An 18,522-nucleotide genomic window follows, 5' to 3' on the forward strand; every position below is an offset into this window, starting at 1 on the left:
ATCATTGTTGTTAAAGCCTTAACACTTGACCCAGTATATATTTAATAAAAATTTTTGAACAAACGAAAAACATTGGCCAAATGAATAAATGTTTCCTAATAATGTTGGTAAATGTTGGTAAGTTCTTTCACTATCAATCGTATCATAAAATTTTTCTTAATACCAACTTAAATGCCATTTTGTGTATAGAAAAATCCCTAAAAGATCCTAGAGGTTATCCACTCTGGGCAGAGGTGCATTTAAAAACTAAAGTTTTTCCTTCTTTCCTTTCTGCTGTAGGCCCCAGTGGTTACTGTCAAAATGGGCAAGTTCCTGAAACCTCGGAAAGTGGTGTTTGTCCTGGCTGGATGCTACTCCAGACACAAAGCTGTCATCGTGAAGAACATTGATGATGGCACCTCAGATCGCCCCTACAGCCATGCCCTGGTGGCTGGAATTGACCACTATCCCTGCAAAGTAAGAGCTGCCATGGGCAAGAAGAAGATCACCAAGAGGTCAAAGATCAAGTCTTTTGTGAAAGTTTATAACTAATCACCTAATGCCCACAAGGTACTCTGTGGATATCCTCTTGGACAAAACTGTCATTAATAAGGATGTCTGCAGACACCCTGCTCTTAAACCCAAGGCTGGACAAGAAGCCAAGATCAAGTTTGAAAAGAGGTACAAGACGGGCAAGAACAAGTGGTTCTTCCAGAAGCTGCAGTTTTAGAGGCTTTGTTTTGGTCATTAAAAATTAAAAAGAAAAAAAAAACTACTTTTCTTGGGTTTTGTTCATTGTATTTCTTTTTAATCTTCAGAGAAGAAAATATATAACCATCCTTGCAGATGTATTTCAATTTCACAAACCTTTAGAATTAGAAAAATTCCTCCTCCTAGCTACAGAGTCTCCATCCAAATATGTACATGGGCTTGACAAGCAAGGTAAATGAGTTAAGGAAGGTGTTTTGTCATAAGACCTGAAACTAAGATGCAGTGTTCTGTGCTGCTTCGATATCTGGTGAAATCAGGAGGGCCTTAAATGGCCTAAATGTAAGTTCCCCTGCTGCTCTGTTCCCAGAGATAAGATTCCCTAGCCAAATAACCCTCTGTATCAAGAGAACCAGGTGTAGTTCCTGCTTATCTCTGAGTAGTGAATTTCCGTTCCCTATCAGCCTGTGATATTATTCAAACAAGCGAATCACACCTTCCTGTTGGAACCAAGGGACACCTCACCCTTTAGATACTACAAAGCCTGTCTCCCAAAGCCCGTCCTTGTTCACTGTGTTCCTGAGTGCAACTCCGATGTGGCCCTGTGTGGCATACAATGTCCTCCTCCTCAGGCAGTGAGTATATGTGATGAATAAACTGCTGTTGATCTTACCTGTCCAGTGTTGGGTGTCAGGTGTTTGGCCGTTTCCATAAACCTAGGTCAAGAATCACTTCCTCAACGACAGAGTGAACAGGAGGCAATTAAAACAGGTACGGACCTGGTATGGGAAAAACGATTGCTGGGGAAAGAACTGTAACAATACCCGGCGCTAGTGGCTTAGAGCTAGAAGTGGGGGAAACCATGGAGGTCTGGACAGGACAGACCCCAATTTAAGTAAGCAGCTACTGTTCAGCACGAGTCTATTGTAGACAGGCTAGTCACAACAATACACAGTATTGCCAAACATTTCAAGAGACACTGGAAATCTGGATTTTATGTCAAAATTCTCACTTTTTAAAAGTTGGAAACTTCTTCCTTTCTTTCATTTTCCCTCTCCTTTTCCCACTCTCTGTCTCTCAGCCCAACCAAAACCCATCAGGGGTGGTTTTGTGAGGTGCCAGTTTGTAACCTGTCCTAGAAGTTAAGCCTAGTCCCTAGAACACTGCTCTGATCCCAACACTTAAATAACATTCTGCCATTACATCTTCTAATATCACATATACTAACATTGCTGATTCAAGTTAGATTTACTATACCCCTGAAATTTAAATCTTAGCCATATTTATCTATAAGTCCCCATTATATATTAGGGCAGTCTTATTTTTCCTCCTAGCAACAATTCACTACACTGCATTTTATTCTGACCACATTTCACACTCCCTCAATTACTAAGTCATTTTGAATTCTAATAATATCCTTCCAGGCACTTCCAATCACACTCAGCTTGTGCTGTTCCTTCCATTATATCATTCCAAACATCAAAAAATATAAAGGAATCTAGCTTAAAAATAAGACTTCTAAAACACCCGTTGTTATGTTCCTCCCAAATTGACATGACACAAATAATAACTTTCTTAACTATTTCCAGGAAATGTAATAGTGCATTTTTTCTAAATTGTCACTTTTTAAAGACTGGTAAATACGAGTTTCAGAAGAATTAATATAATTGCTATGGGGAGAAACAACAGTACTCTTTAACCATGCCAAAACATTTTAATAAGTTTGATGAATTTAAAAGCATATTTAAGACCAGGCACAGTGACTCACACCTGTAATCCCAGCACTTTGGGAGGCCGTGGCAGAAGGATTGCTTGAGCTTAGGAGTTCAAGACCAGCCTGGGCAACATGGCAGAAACTCCATGTCTACCAAAAATTCAAAAAATTATCTGGCCATGGTGGCACATGCCTGTGGTCCCAGCTATTCAGGAGGCTGAGGTGGGAGGATCACTTGAGCACGGGAGGTGGAGTTTGCAGTGAGCCATGATCATGCCACTGTACTCCACCCTGGGTAACACAGCAAGACTGCATCTCAAAAAAAAATTTTTTTAAGAATATTTAAAAGAAATACTTTTAAAGCATATTCATTAATTTCTTCATTCAGCAAACTTCATTCAGCACCTACTCTGTGCCAGTCACTGTTTGAGAAGCTGGGAATATATTCAAAATAGAATAAAATTCCCACTGTCATTGAGTTTGCTGTCCATAATATTAGGCAGAATATAAAATCAACTCCTGTTAGTTGCAGTTAGATAAAAATGGGTAAGCCAATAGACAGAATCAGAAGAGAATATGTTAAACTTAAAATAGTAGCTGGGTATGTCGAGAAGGTTACAGACTATTTCTTTCTTTATTCAATATAAAGTGCATGAGTTCATAATGAAATGACATAAAAATTAAAGATAAACAACTCATCATTCACCTGTGAAGACTACTAGTGTACTAACTCATTATTCTGAAAATTGATAAATAAGTAGAATAACCATATAATTTGTTGTCCCAAATGGAACATTTTAACGAGTAATATTCAATTCAAAGTTCACACATTACATTTGGTTGATGTATCTCTTAATTTTCTTTTAACCTATAACTTCACAAACCATAAGTATAAATTAAATAAGTTTAACGTATAACTTTATGCTAACATCACCTGTCACCTGGACTATCACAACTGCCTTCACTCTTGACTCCTAGAACTCATTTACCACTCTGCATCAAGAATCATCTTTGTAAAAAGTATATATCAGAGGAATTAACTGGAGGATAACGGTGGTAACCTGAATTCAAATCTCCATACACATCCCAAAAAAATAAATAATAGCAACAAGGAGTACAAATAAAACAAAATGTTACACATGCCACCGAAATCACAATCAACCAGAGTATAGCGGGAATTTCAAACTACCTGAAAGTAGAGAAATGAAACTTGAAGTCCCACCACCAACGCAAGCCTGTGGATGTACAGAACAGTGACACGGGAGGCCTAAGTCATTCTAAAGAGAAGAGAAGACAGGTTAGGATTTAAAACATAAACAAAACTACCTGCAGAAAAAGAAAGCACAACATATGTGATAAAATACCACACACAGGTCCATGACTTGGTAGCTCATGGCACCCAGTAGAGGGAAAGAGCTTGAAAGTAAGTAGAACGGAGGAGGCAGAAGAGGAAATACTACATCTGTGAGACAAAGAGATATGAGGGAGAACAGCCCCTTGGAGAGTGGCAGTGAAGGAAAATAAGGAAGTCGATGGCAAAAAATTAAAGATGCTGCAGAAAAAGAACAGAAACAAGACATGGCAAGACGCCCACCCCGGCTCCCGCCGACAACTACCACTACCACAATCACCATCTTACTTGGAAGAAAAATAATGTATTTTACTAAAATGAGAGAAGAGCATGCTCACGAACCAGAAACTCTGTCCAAAAAATGCCCTGGAATAAAAATAAAATCAAACAAATTCCATACAAAGTTATCGTAAGGAAAAAAAAATAGAACATATATAATCAAAACGTTTCAGCCAGGCACAGTGGCTCATGCCTTTAATCCCAGTACTTAGGGAGGCCGAGGCCAGCAGATTACCTGAGGTCAGGAGTTCAAGACCAGCCTGGCCAACATGGTGTTGTGGTGGGCGCCTGTAATCCCAGCTACTCAGGAGGCTGAGGCAGGAGAATCACTTGAACCTGGGAGGTGGAGGTTGCAGTGAGCCAATATCACCCCACTACACCCCAGCCTGGGTGACAGAACAGGACTCTGTCTCAAAAAAGAAAACAGACAAAAAAACAAAATGTTTCAACTGGTGAGAATTACTCTAAAAATGCCAACCACAAAACACAATACATTCAAACTGGTTTAAATAATGTCAAACAACATTTGGAGATATTAAAAAGTCTAGAATCATAAATTTAAAACAAATAACATAAATAGGCCCAGGAAAATCTATGAGATCTATGCAAGGGGAAAATGCAATGAGAGTAGATTGGACCAAAAAAGAAAATCCAAGAAAAAGACAAAATTATCTCAGAAAGGAGGAATAAATTGCAAGGTGCCCAAGGGAAAATATATTTGGATGAAAATTTAATAAGAAAAAAAACAAGAACAAAAATATAAGATAGGCCAGGCATTGTGGCTCATGCTTGTAATTCCAGTATTCTGGGAGTCCAAGGCAGGAAGATCACTTGAGCTCAGGGGTTCAAGGCAAGCCTGGGAAAAGTAGTGAGACCCCATCTCTATAAAAAATTTAAAAAATTACCCAGGCATGGATGCATGTGCCTATTGTCCCAGTTCCTTGGGAGGCTGAAGCAGAAGAGTCACTTGAGCCCAGGAGATTGAGGCTGCAGTGAGTGGTGATCATACCACCGCACTCCAGCCTGGAGGATAGAGTGACACTCTGTCTCAAAACTCATAATAATAAGATAAAGAAAGAAGCAAAAAAGCATCAGAGAGTAGAAAGTGATCAAAATTGAAGACATGCAAAGAAGGCTCAACATATGTATAACTGGAACTCTTGACAAAGGAAAACAATACAATGAGGCAGAACTAATATTTAACACTACAATCCAAGAAAACTTTCTGGAAATAAAAGAAAAGCCTGTAATACTAGCACTTTGGTAGGCCAAGATGGGAGGATTGCTTGATGCCAAGAGTTCAAGACCAACCTGGTCAACATAGCGAGACTCTATCTCTATAAAAAATAAAAAGAAAATAAATAAAAATAAAATTATACATTAAAAGGGCCCATATTTACCTGAAAATATTGACCTAAAATGATCAACTCTAAGATATATGTTAATACAACTATTAGAATAAAAGATCGAATTGCTAATAGGCATAAGAAAATTAGATTGGCATTAGTCTCCACAAAAGCAGCATTTAAAGCCAAGAGGCCAGTATTTTCAAGAAACTCAAGGAAAGAAATAATAAGCAAAGTATTTTATAGCAAAGTTCTTCTAGCATCAAGGCTATATAAAAACAGTTTTGAACATGCAAGAGCTCAAGAAACACGGTACTCAAAAGTCCTTTTTGAAGTGTCTACTTAGGCAGGAGTTGACACGCAATAGTCCACAGGTCAAATCTGGCCTGGCATCTATTTTTGTACAGCCCACAAGCTAAGAATGTTTTACATTTTTAAAGCATTTTAAGATAAGAAAAAGGAGTGACAGAAGGAAAAGGAGAAGCAGCAGCAGCAGCAGCAGTAGCAGTAAAGAATGTATATATGGCCCGCAAGGCCTAAAACATTTACTCTCTGACTCTTTATAGAAAAACTTTGCTGACTCCTGCCCTAGACTATGATAAGCTTTATCCACACAAAAGATGACTGGGGAAATATCAGTAAACAGACATGGTAAGCACTTAATATACCTAATTGTAGAACCAAGAATAAAAGAAAAGTAGGGACAAGGTTGAAAGAATAGTACATGAGCAGTATACATTCTGACAAAGTAGAAAGAATGCAACCAGCGGGGGGAAAAAGAGAGGAATGGGGGTAGTAGAATAAGATAATTGAATATTATAAAGATGATAGGAGCCCAAGGACATCACTTAAAACTTATAAACCAGCTAGTAAAAAAAAATTAGCCAAAAAAGGAGGAATTAAGCACTATTAAAAGCATAAATACAAAGATAACCACAAGAATAACAATACTAATTTCCCTAAATGCCTCTCTATAAAAGAGGGGCACAGTAAATATAATTACATCCAGTAATTATAACACAAAATAATATAAGAAAGTTGAGAATAAACATATCAGTCATACCAATAATGTTAGTGGGCTTAACTTGCCCATTAAAAGAAAAACAATTTCAAATTGGCTTACAAATCAAAACTGAACTTTGGGGGCCAGGTGTGGTGGCTCATGCCTGTAATCCCAGCACTTTGGGAGGCCAAGGTGGGTGATCACCTGAGGTTAGGAGTTCAAGATCAGCCTGGCCAACAAGGTGAAACCCCCTCTCTACTAAAAATACAAAAAAAATAGCCAGGTGTGGTGGTGCACGCCTGTAGTTCCAGCTACTTGGGAGGCTGAGACAGGAGAATCACTTGAACCTGGGAGGTGGAGGTTGCAGTGAGCCAAGATCATGCCACTGCACTCCAGCCTGGGCAACAGAGTGAGACTCCATCTCAAACAAAACAAAACAAAAACAACAACAAAAAACTGAACTCTGTGCTTTTTACAAGAGACATTCCTAAACCATGGTAAAAAGGCTACAAATGAAGGAATAGTCAAAAATATATTAAGCAGGCTGGGCGCAGTGGCTCACGCCTGTAATCCCAGCACTTTGGGAGGTCAAGGTGGGTGGATCATGAGGTCAAGAGACTGAGACCGTCCTGGCCAACATGGTGAAACCCTGTCTCTACTAAAAATACAAAAATTAGCTGGGCACGGTGGCACACACTTGTACTACCAGCTGCTTGGGAGGCTGAGGCAAGAGAATCGCTTAAACCCAGGAGGTGGAGGTTGCAGTGAGCCGAGATCTTGCCACTGCCCTCCAGCCTGGCAACAGAGTGAGACTCTGTCTCAAAAAAAAAAAATTATATATATACACTAGACAAATGAAAATCATAAAAAAGCAAGGGTTGTCATCTTGATATCAGGTATAATTCAGGCCAAAAAGCATTAAATAAAACAAATGATGACACTTTATGATGCTAAAAGCCACGACTCACAAAGCAGATATAATAGTTATAAATATCCATGTACCAAATAACCCAGTGACCAACTATACAAAGCAGAAACTACATGAGATAGAATGAGAAATAGATAGACACTATACAGGATGCTTCACCACCCATTCTCAGCACAGAGATGTCAAGTGTATGAAAGACAAGGATATGGAATATGGATAGATATTGGACAGATAATGATGTAGAAACAACATAATTCATAAGGCCACTCATATGGATATTTCTTGAATATTATACCCCGATAATAAAGAATAGTTCACATTCTCTTACAGGTCAGACAGCTTGCTCTACTCTTTCTCCCTTCTCATTACTGTGCTTGACTATGCATATACACACACACACATACACACACACACACACACACACACACACACACTTTCTTCTTAAGTACATATGGAATATTCTTAAAATTAATTATATTTTAGGTCACAAGAAAATATCATTAAGTTCCATAGAATAGAGATAGCACAGCCAGGCGCGGTGGCTCACGCCTGTAATCCCAGCACTTTGGGAGGCTAAGGCAGGTGGATCACGAGGTCAGGAGATCAAGACCATCTTGGCTAACACGGTGAAACCCCGTCTCTACTAAAAAAATACAAAAAATTAGCCGGGCGCGGTGGCAGGCGCCTGTAGTCCCAGCTACTTGGGAGGCTGAGGCAGGAGAATGGTGTGAACCCGGGAGGCGGAGCTTGTAGTGAGCCGAGATCGCGCCACTGCAGTTCCGCCTGGGCGAAAGAGGGAGACTCCATCTCAAAAAAAAGAAAAGAAAAGAAAAGAAATAGCACAACAGGCCAGGCGCAGTGGTTCATGCCTGCAATCCCAGCTCAAGCGGGAGGATCACCTGAGCCCAGGAGTTCAAGACCAGCCTGGGCAACATGACAAGGCCCCTATCTCTATGAAAAAACCTTTTTTAATTACCCAGGCATAATGGCACACACCTGTGGTCTCAGCTACTCAGGAGGCTGAGATGGGAGCATTAGCTCCTTCAGCCCAGGTGGTTGAGTCTGCAGTGAGCCATGTTCTTGCCAGTATACTTCAGTTTGGTGACAAAGAGATCCTGTCTCCAAAAAAAAAAAAACAAAAAAAAAAAAAAAAAGAAATACCACAAACAATGCTATCTCACCACAATGTAATAAAACCAGAAATTTAAAATTGAAATTATAAAATAAAAAGCCACTTCTGCTGAAAATTAGAAAGTCTTCTATGATATGTCTTGGGTGAAATGAGAACACACTTACAGAATATCTGAAAAATGATGATGAAAACACTGTTTATCAAAATCTATGGTTATGTTTAACAGAGTGATCAAGGAGAATTTGTAACCTTTGTGGGCAGCTGAAAAAAAAAATGGCCTTCCAAAGATACATTCACTTCTTAATCCACGGAACCAGTGAATATTGCCTTGTATAGCAAAATATGTGATTAAATTAAAGATCTTGAGAGGAAGGGCTTATCCTGAATTATGCAGATGAGCCCTAAATACCATCACATGCATCCTTATGAGGGAGAGGCACAGTGGGACAGGCAGACGCAGAGAGGAGAAAGCAATGTAAAGTCCGAGGCTGAGACTGGAGTGATGTAACCACCAGCCAACCAATGCCAACAGCCACCAGAAGCTGGAAGGAACAAGAAATTGATTCTCCTCTAGAGCTTCTGTAGGGAATACAGCCCTGTGGAAGCCTTGATTTTGAACTTCTGGCCTTCAGAACCATGCGAGAATGAATTTCTGTAGTTTTAAGTCACTAAGGTGGTAATTTATTATAAAAGCCCTAAGAAACTAACATAACCTTAAACACCCATATCAGTAAAAATGAAAGAATAATAAAAAATGAATTAAGTCCTCAACTCAAAAAAACTAGAAAAAGCCTATAAAGTATTTCTAAAATAAAGCACAATTAAGGAATTAATAGAAATAAAAACAGAAATTAAGGAGATGAAGAACAGAAAAATAGTACATCAAATTATTAATATGAACATCCCGATTATTTTTTAAAAGTCAACAAAATAGACAAAATACTAGGTAATTCAATCAAGACAAAAAGGAAGACAGCAAAATATAACAAGAATAACTGTTGATGAAGAAAATTTTAAATCATAAAATATTTTGTACATATCTAAACAAATAAATTCTAAAATCTAGATGGCATAGAAAACTTCTTAGAAACATATAACTCACTGAAATTTACCCCAATAAAGATAGGAAGCTTACATCCACCCATTTTCATAGCAAAAACTTGAAAACATTATCAAAAAAACTACCCCCCACCAAAAAGAACTAGGCCCAGATGGTTTCAGAGAAGGATGCTGCCAAACCTTTAGAGAACAGATAGTACCAATGTTGGTAAACTGTTTCAGAGAATTAAAGCTAAAGGAAATTTGGCTGGGTGCAGTGGCTCATGCCTGTAATCCCAGCACTTTGGGAGGCTGAGGCAGGTGCATCACTAGGTCAGGAGTTCGAGACCAGCCTGACCAACATGGTGAAACCGCGTCTCTACTAAAAATACAAAAATTAGCTGGGCATGGTAGCACACACGTGTAATCCCAGCTACTCAGGAGGCTGAGGCAGGAGAATTGCTTGAACCTGGGAGGTGGAGGTTGCAGTGAGCTGAGATCGCAGCATTGCACTCCAGTCTGTGCAACAGAGCAAGACTCCATCTCAAAAAAAAAAGCTACAGGAAATTTGCAAATTCTTTTAATGGAGTATAACATCTAATATCACTTATAAATGTAAATATAAAATATCCCAAATAAAATATTATTGTATAGACCCTAACATCACATTAAGAATATAACACACTATGACCAAGGGAATTTATACCAGAATTGCAAGGATAATTCAATTTTAGGAAATCTATTAATGTTGTCCACCGTTATAATAGATCTATGGAGAAAAAAATCATATGATTACCTTTATACATGCTGAAACCATCTTTGAAAAAAATTAACACGAATTCCAAATCAAAACTCTCAAGAAAACAGGACTGGATGAATACTTTCTTAACATGTCATATACCTTAATCCTAAAGCCAAATCTTACTTAATGGAGAAACACTAGAAAGTTTTTCACCTTGTACCAACAAGGCTCTTTTTTTCTGGAACTAAATAAGTTGATACTAAAATTCATATGGAGAAGCAAACATGCAAGAAAACCAGGAAAAAGAAAAGGTCATCAGAGAGGATTAGCCTCTATAATTTAACAGATTAATAAAATAGGATACTCAATTACATACAGAAATTTATTATATAATAAGGGTGGCTTATTAAATTACTATGTCAAAGATGAATTTTTGAATAAATGCTGTTGGTACCAATGGGTAGCCATTTGAAAAAAGACAAAATTAGATTCATTCCTCATACCAAACAAAAGAACAAACTCCTAATGAATCAGAGATTGAAATATAAAACAATACACTACACTAAAAGTATTAAAATAAAATATAGACAAATTCCTCCAAATCTGAGTGTGGGAAAAGGCCTTCTAACCATAACTCAAAATCCAAGTGCAATAAAATAAAACATAAAAAATTTTGACTACATAAAAAACTATTGCATGACAAAATTTAAGTCACAAGACGAATGACTAACTGGGAAAAAAATTTAAATTTTGCTATACACACACATACACATATATATGTGATATATGTCTGTACATATATATCTTTAAAGGGCTAATAGACAACTTTTAAAATTAAGGGAAAATATAAATAATTCTATAGAAAAATGGGCAAAAGAAATGAACAGATAAGTCATAAAGAAAATGGTGCAAAAATGGCCTTTAAACAAATGAAACTATGTTCGAAATCATGCAAAATAAAAGAAATAAAAAGTAAAATTACACTAAGATACAATTTTTCTCCAATTAGATTGTCAAAAATTCAAAAGCTTAACTAGATACTCTATTGCCAAGACTGTGAGGAAACAGGCATTGGTAGTAAAGGAAAACAGTGTCCCACCTATGGGAGAAAAATTTTGCAATATCAAACAAAACTACATATGTATTGACCCTTAGATCCAGCAATTCCACTCACTGAATTTTTACTCTAAAGATTCAACTCTAGCAACATGAAAGTACATCTCTAAAAGGTTATTCATTGTAGCATCGTTCACAGTTACAAAATACCAGAATACTATCTAAAGGACCAAAGTAAAGGATATTAGTTGAATAAACTATAGTAGTACATTCACTATGCAACTATTTAAAAAATGATGTGAAAGATATCTATATAGTGATATGGAGATATTCCAGAATAATTTTTAGTAAAAAAATATTGAAGTTTAAAAACGTAAAAAGTTTCAACTGTAAAAAATTTAAAGTATGTTTCTTTTTGTATGAGAAAATGCGGGGAAGGGCCAGGTGCAGTGGCTTACACCTATAATCCCAGAGCTTTAGGAGGCCAGGGCAGGAAGATTGCTGAGGTCAAGAGTTCTAGACCAGCCTGGGCAGCATACCAAGACCCCTGTCTCTACAAAAATTATTTTTAAAGTTAGCCTGGTGCAATGGCATGTGCCTGTAGTCCTAGCTACTCTGGAGGCTGAGGGAGGAGGATTGCCTGAGCCTAGGAATTCGAGGCTTCATGGAGCTCTGATCACTCCACTGCACTCTAGCCTAAGGGACAGAGCAAGAACCTGTCTCACAAAAGAAAAAAAAGAAACAAAGAAAAGTAAAGAAAATAAGGGAAAAGAAAATACATACACATATCTCCTTACTTTTGCAAAAAGAAACATAGAAATGATAAAAACAAAACAAAAAATGAAATTAATACCTACAAAGACAGGGTAATGAGGGTGTGTATTAGTCTGTTTTCATGCTGCTGATAAACACATACCTGAGACTGGGTAATTTATAAAGAAAAAGAGTTTTAATGGACTCACAGTTCCACATGGCTAGGGAGGCCTCACAATCATGGTGGAAGGTGAAAGGCATGTCTTATATGGTGGCAGACAAGAGAGAATGAGAACCAAGTGAAAGGGGAAACCCCTTATAAAACCATTAGATCTCGTGAGACTTATTCACTACCACGAGAACAGTATGAGAGAAACCGTCCCCATGATTCCATTATCTCCCACTGGGTCCCTCCCATGACACATGGGAATTATGCAAGCTACAACGCAAGATGAGATTTGGGTGGGGACACAGCAAAACCATATCATTCAGCCCCTGGCCCCTCCCAAATCTCATGTCTTCACATTTCAAAACCAATCATGCCTTCCCAATAGTCCCCCAAAGTCTTAACTCATTTCAGCATTAACTCAAAAGTCCACAGTCCAAAGTCTCATCTGAGACAAGGCAAGTCCCTTCTGCCTATGAGCCTGTAAAATCAAAAGCAAGTTAGTTACTTCCTAGATACAATGGGGGTACAGGCATTGAGTAAACAGACCCATTCCACATGGGAAAAATTGGCCAAAATGAAGGAGGTAAAGGCCCCATGCAAATCCGAAATCCAGCAGGGCATTCAAATCGTAAAGCTCCAAATGGTCTCTTTTGACTCCACGTCTTACATCTAGGTCATACTGATGCAAGAGGTGGGTTCCCATGGTCTTGGGCAGCTCCACCCCTATGGCTTTGCAGGGTACCGCCTCTCCCTCCTCCCTCCCAGCTGCTTGCACAAGCTGGCATTGAATGTCTGCGGCTTTTCCAGGTGCATGGTGCAAGCTGTCAGTGGATCTACCATTCCAGGGTCTGGAGGATGGTGGCTCCCTTCTCACAGCTCCACTAGGCAGTGCCCCAGTGGGGATTCTGTGTGGGGGCTTCAACCCTACATTTCCCTTCTGCACTGCCCTAGCAGAGGATCTCAGGGCAGTGCAGAAGGGAAGGCCCCGCCCCTGCAGTAAACGTCTACCTGGGCATCCCACTGTTTCCATACATTCTCTGAAATCTAGGTGGAAGTTCCTAAACCTCAATTCTTGACTTCTGTGTACCTGCAGGCTCACCACCACATGGAAGCTGCCAAGGCTTGGGGCTTGTGCCATCTGAAGCCATGGCCCAAGCTGTACCTTGGTCCCTTTTAGCTGTGGCTAGAGTGGCTGGGACACAGGGCACCAAGTCCCTAGCCTGCACACAGCAGATGGGCCCATGAAACCATTTATTCCTCCTAGGCCTTCAGGCCTGTGATGGGAGGGGCTGCTGCAAAGGTCTCTGACATGTCCTGGAGGCATTTTCCCCATACTCTTGGCAATTAACATTTGGCTCCTCATTATTACACAAATTTCTTGCAGCTGGCTTGAATTTATCCTCAGAAAATGGGTTTTTCTTTTCTAGCTCATCATCAGGCTGCAAAATTTCCAAACTTTTATGCTCTGTTTCCCTTTTGAAACTGAATGCTTTTACAGTACCCAAGTCACCTCTTGAATGCTTTGTTGCTTAGAAATTTCTTCCACCAGATACCCTAAATCATCTCCCTGAAGTTCAAAGTTTCACAGATCTCTAGGGCAGGAGGAAAATGCCACCAGTCTCTTTGCTAAAACATTACAAGGGTAACCTATACTCCAATTTCCAACAAGTTCCTCATCTCCATCTGAGACCACCTCAGCCTGGATTTCATTGTTCATATCATTATCAGCATTTTGGTCAAAGCCATTCAACAAGTCTCTAGGAAGTTCCAAACTTTGCCACATTTTCCTGTCTTCTTTTGAGCCCTCCAAACTGTTCCTACCTCTGCCCGTTACCCAGTTCCAAAGTCGCTTCCTCATTTTGGGGTATCTTTACAGCAGCATTCCACTCTTGGTACCAATTTACTGTATTAACCTGTTTTCACACTGCTGATAAAGACATACATTAGACTGGGCAATTTATAAAGAAAAAGAGGTTTAATGGACTCACAGTTCCACATGGCTGGGGAGGCCTCACAATCATGGCAGAAGGTGAAAGGCATGTCTTACATGGTGGCAGACAAGAGAGAATGAAAGCCAAGCAAAAGGATTTCCCCTTATAAAACTGTAAGATCTCATGAGACTTATTCACTACCACAAGAAAAGTGTTGGGGAACCACCCCCATGATTCCATTATCTCCCACTGGGTCCCTCCCACAACATGAGGCAATTATGGGAGCTGCAATTCAAGATGAGATTTGGGTGGGGATACAGCCAAACCATATCGGGGGTAACATTGGAAACTACAGAGGAAGAAAGAGACATATCTTAAAATAATTTCTTATATAGTTTGACTCTTGAAAACACGTCAGGCTGGGCGTGGTGGCTCATGCCTGTAATCCCAGCACTTTGGGAGGCTGAGGCGGGCAGATGACCAGGTCAGGAAATCGAGACCATCCTGGCTAACATGGTGAAACCCCGTCTCTACTAAAAATACAAAAAATTAGCCAGGTGTGGTGGCAGGCGCCTGTAGTCCCAGCTACTCGGGAGGCTGAGGCAGGAGAATGGCGTGAACCCGGGAGGCAGAGCTTGCAGTGAGCCAAGATCACGCCACTGTACTCCAGCCTGGGAGACACAGCAAGACTCCATCTCAAAAATAAGAAAGAAAGAAAGAAAGAAAACACGTCAACATTCTACACAAATAAATACCAAATAAATTTTAACATAAATAAATACAAAAAATATATTAAATTGAATCAATAAGAACAAGAAAATCAATAAGGAGTGTGGTAAAGCATAAAATTGAACACAAAACAAATGTCTCCTACTGCATTTCAAATAAATAACAACCATATTTAAGGGCAGAAAGCACTAATCCAAGAAACTTTCCAACACAGTACTTCAACAACTATATGCCATAAGTCTAGATAAAAGAAAGAACCCCCCCAACAAACCTTAAACTCTTGTTTTTCTGTGGTATGGCTGCAGAATGCACTGTAGAATTGAGCCAATGAACAAATGTGTTAAGGTTCTTAATGTGAAAGAAGAAGGAAACAAATACGGAAGAAGAAAGGCAAAGAAGAACCCTACAGAGTTAGGTTGGAATTGGAAGCATTGATATGATCTCATGATTTCTAAGAAAAAAAATAGGGTTTTGCCCCCAGAACTATTTTGTAAAAGGGCCTAGAAGCAATGACATCTCAGAAACAGTAAGCAAAACTAGCACCCAGGTCACAGTTTCTTTTTCTCTCTCTCTCTCTGTGTGTGTGTGTGTGTGTGTGTGTGTGTGTGTGTGTGTTTTACAATAGAGATGGGGGTTTCACCTTTTAGGCCAGGCTGGTCTCGAACTCCTGAGCTCAAGTGATCCACCCGCCTTGGCCTCCCAAATTGCTGGGATTACAGGCATGAGCCACCGTGCCCAGTCCCAGGTTATGGTTTCTAAACATCATTCCTCACTAAAAGGAACAAGGGTTCTTTCAAGAAAAGGCATATTCCAGGAGTAGGGGAGAAAAGGGACAAGATTAGCCTGAAACATCTTTTGTATCAGAAAATAAATATGTACCGAAAAGAAAGAAAGAAGAAGGCATTTTGAAAGAACACAAGAATCAGTTTGATGGGGCAAATCTAAGGCAATTTGATCATCAAAATAGTGGAATTAATGGATTATAGCCCACTGAAAAAATAGGAATCCATGAGTCCATACTAATCATAAATAAATGCATACCTACATAAGTAAATTAAGATTGGGTTGGGCTCTTTCCTAAAGTAGAGTGATGATAGCAAATGCGAAGGTAGGGCCAGCTCCGCTGGGCCCATGCTCAGAAAGACCTCAGGCTTGGTTTAATGTTCTTCTATTGCCATCTCAAAATTTTTCATAATTTTATCGTGTGTGTGTGTGTGTGTGTGTGTGTGTGTGTGTGTGACTGAGTCTCGCTCTGTCGTCCAGGCTAGAGTGCGATGGCATAATCTCAACTCACTGCAACCTCTGCCTCCCAGGTTCAAGTGATTCTCGTGCTTCAGCCTCCTGAGTAGCTGGGATTACAGGCACCTGCCACCACGCCTGGCTAATTTTTGTCTTTTTAGTAGAGACAGGGTTTCACCTGTTGGCCAGGCTTGTCTCAAAGTCCTGACCTCAGGTGATCGCCTGCCTCGGCCTCCCAAAGTGCTGGGATTACAGGCATGAGCCACCATGCGTGGCCATAATTTTATCTTTTAACTTGTATTTTTAAGCCTTTTTCCATTTGCCCCAATAATACTGGCTGGTGACACTTGCAGCAGTAGTGTTTACCCTGAGATAACTTTGCCATGAAATATGTCAATTTTATTATTATTTTTGCATTGCTCTACTATATTGACTTTGGAAACAAAAGACATCGTTCTATTTATAGCATTCTGTTTTTAGTAGTGATGTTTCCATTTACAAACATAGTAATTCTCGATTGCTGAAAATGTCACATTATAGAAAACATAGCACTCCTACACGTTGATGTTAACATTGTTCTCAAACAGTTGTTGGCCAAAGATTCATTTGATGAATCTGATTTTTCTGAAATAGATGATTCTGATGATTCAGACCAGAAGTGTCCAATCTTTTGGCTTTCCTGGGCCCCATTGGAAGAAGAATTGTCTTGGGCCACACATAAAATACACTAACACTAACAATAGTTGATGAGCTTAAAAAAATTGCAAAAAAATCTCATAATGTTTTAAGAAAGTTTATGAATATATGTTGGCCACATTCAAAGCCATCCTGGGCCACATGCAGCCCATCAGCCACATGCAGCCCATGGGCCACAAGTTGGATGAGCTTGATTCAGATGATTCTAATGTTAGTTCTGTTTAGAAATAAGAACAATTTTATATTTTATTTTCACATTGAAAATCTGTCAGATTTGCTTCAGCCTCAAAGAGCTTGTTTATGTAAAACTAAATGAGCACCGGCAGTAAGTTGCACTTGTTTTTTCTAAACGAGAAAAGGTTTAAATAAAGTCCTAAGGGACAATGAAGCATGTGTCTAAGCAGATGAGGTTTATGCACCATATGTGTCTGTAGTTCGTTGCCACTCCATATGCATATAGCATTCCCAGTGTCCCAAGAACACAGAATTCCAGGGGAACCACAGTACATGGGAGTTCAGCAAAACTCAACACAAGTACAAGCTAAGCATGTCATGTCCACAACTAAGTAGGGCACTGACATCCATGAAATGCTACCCTTTCTGTTTCTACTTGAATACTTCAAACATGGAAAGAAGGAAATGGGATTCTAAAAACAAGAACAATCCATACTCCTTTTGCTTTCAGTCTTTCTTACTCATCAGTGAGCCAAAAGTAAAGTGTCAGTAGAATGTGAGCATATCAAGAAACAAAACAAATAAAAATCCTTGAGTTTAGTTGTGTGCAGTGTTTCCAGCGCTCTGGTGAGAATGAAATATACTATATGCATGTGTGAACTATAAAATACATTTTGTGATTTTAGATGATTCCACAAATGAGTTAAATGCTCCTATGGCCAGGCATAGTGACTCATGCCTGTAATCCCAGCACTTTGGGAGGCCAAGGAGGGAGGATTGTTTGAGGCCAGGAATTCAAGACCAGCCTGGACAACAGAGAGAGACCACCTCTTCTGTACAAAACTTTTTTAAAAAAATTAGCCAGGTGTAGTGGCTCTCAGTTACTCAGGAGGCAAAGGTAGGAGCATCACTTGAGTCCAGGAGTTTGAGGCTGCAGCGAGCTATGATTGCCACTGCATTTTAGCTTGGGCAACAAAAGGGAGAGCCTGTCTCTTAAAAAAAAATTTTTAATAAAAAAAAAAGCTCTAATATTTGCACTTTAAGCTGGTACAATATAAAGAACAGTAAAATTTATGCTAATAATTAAAATTTTTAATATTTCTTAAGAATGACATTAAACAGCAAATTTTTTTATTTTGTAAAGACGGGTCTCCCTATGTTGCCCACGCTGGTCTCAAACTCCTGGGCTCAAGTGATACTCCCGCCTATGGCCTCCCAAAATGCTGGGATTACAGGCATGGGCCACCATGCCCAACCTAAATAGCAAATTTAAAAAACATGAAGTCCTTTGGGAGGCCGAGGTGGGTGGATCATTTGCAGTCAGGAGTTCGAGACCAGCCTGACCAACATGGTGAAACCCCACCTCTACTAAAAATACAAAAATTAGCTGGGCATGGTGGTGGGAACCTGTAGTCTCAGCTACTAAGGAGGCTGAGGCAGGATAGTTGCTGGAACCCAGGAGGTGGAGGTTGCAGTGAGCTGAGATCACGCCACTGCACTCCAGACTGGGTGACAGAGCAAGACTCCATCTCAAAAAAATAAAAAATAAAAATAA

General features: G+C 39.4%; 1 pseudogene; it reads left to right on the forward strand.

Annotated features, from left to right (window-relative positions):
* RPL27P1 (ribosomal protein L27 pseudogene 1) lies at positions 257–748 on the forward strand (annotated as a pseudogene).

This window comes from Homo sapiens, chromosome 14 (assembly GCF_000001405.40).
Source record: "Homo sapiens chromosome 14, GRCh38.p14 Primary Assembly".
Lineage (NCBI taxonomy): Eukaryota > Metazoa > Chordata > Mammalia > Primates > Hominidae > Homo > Homo sapiens.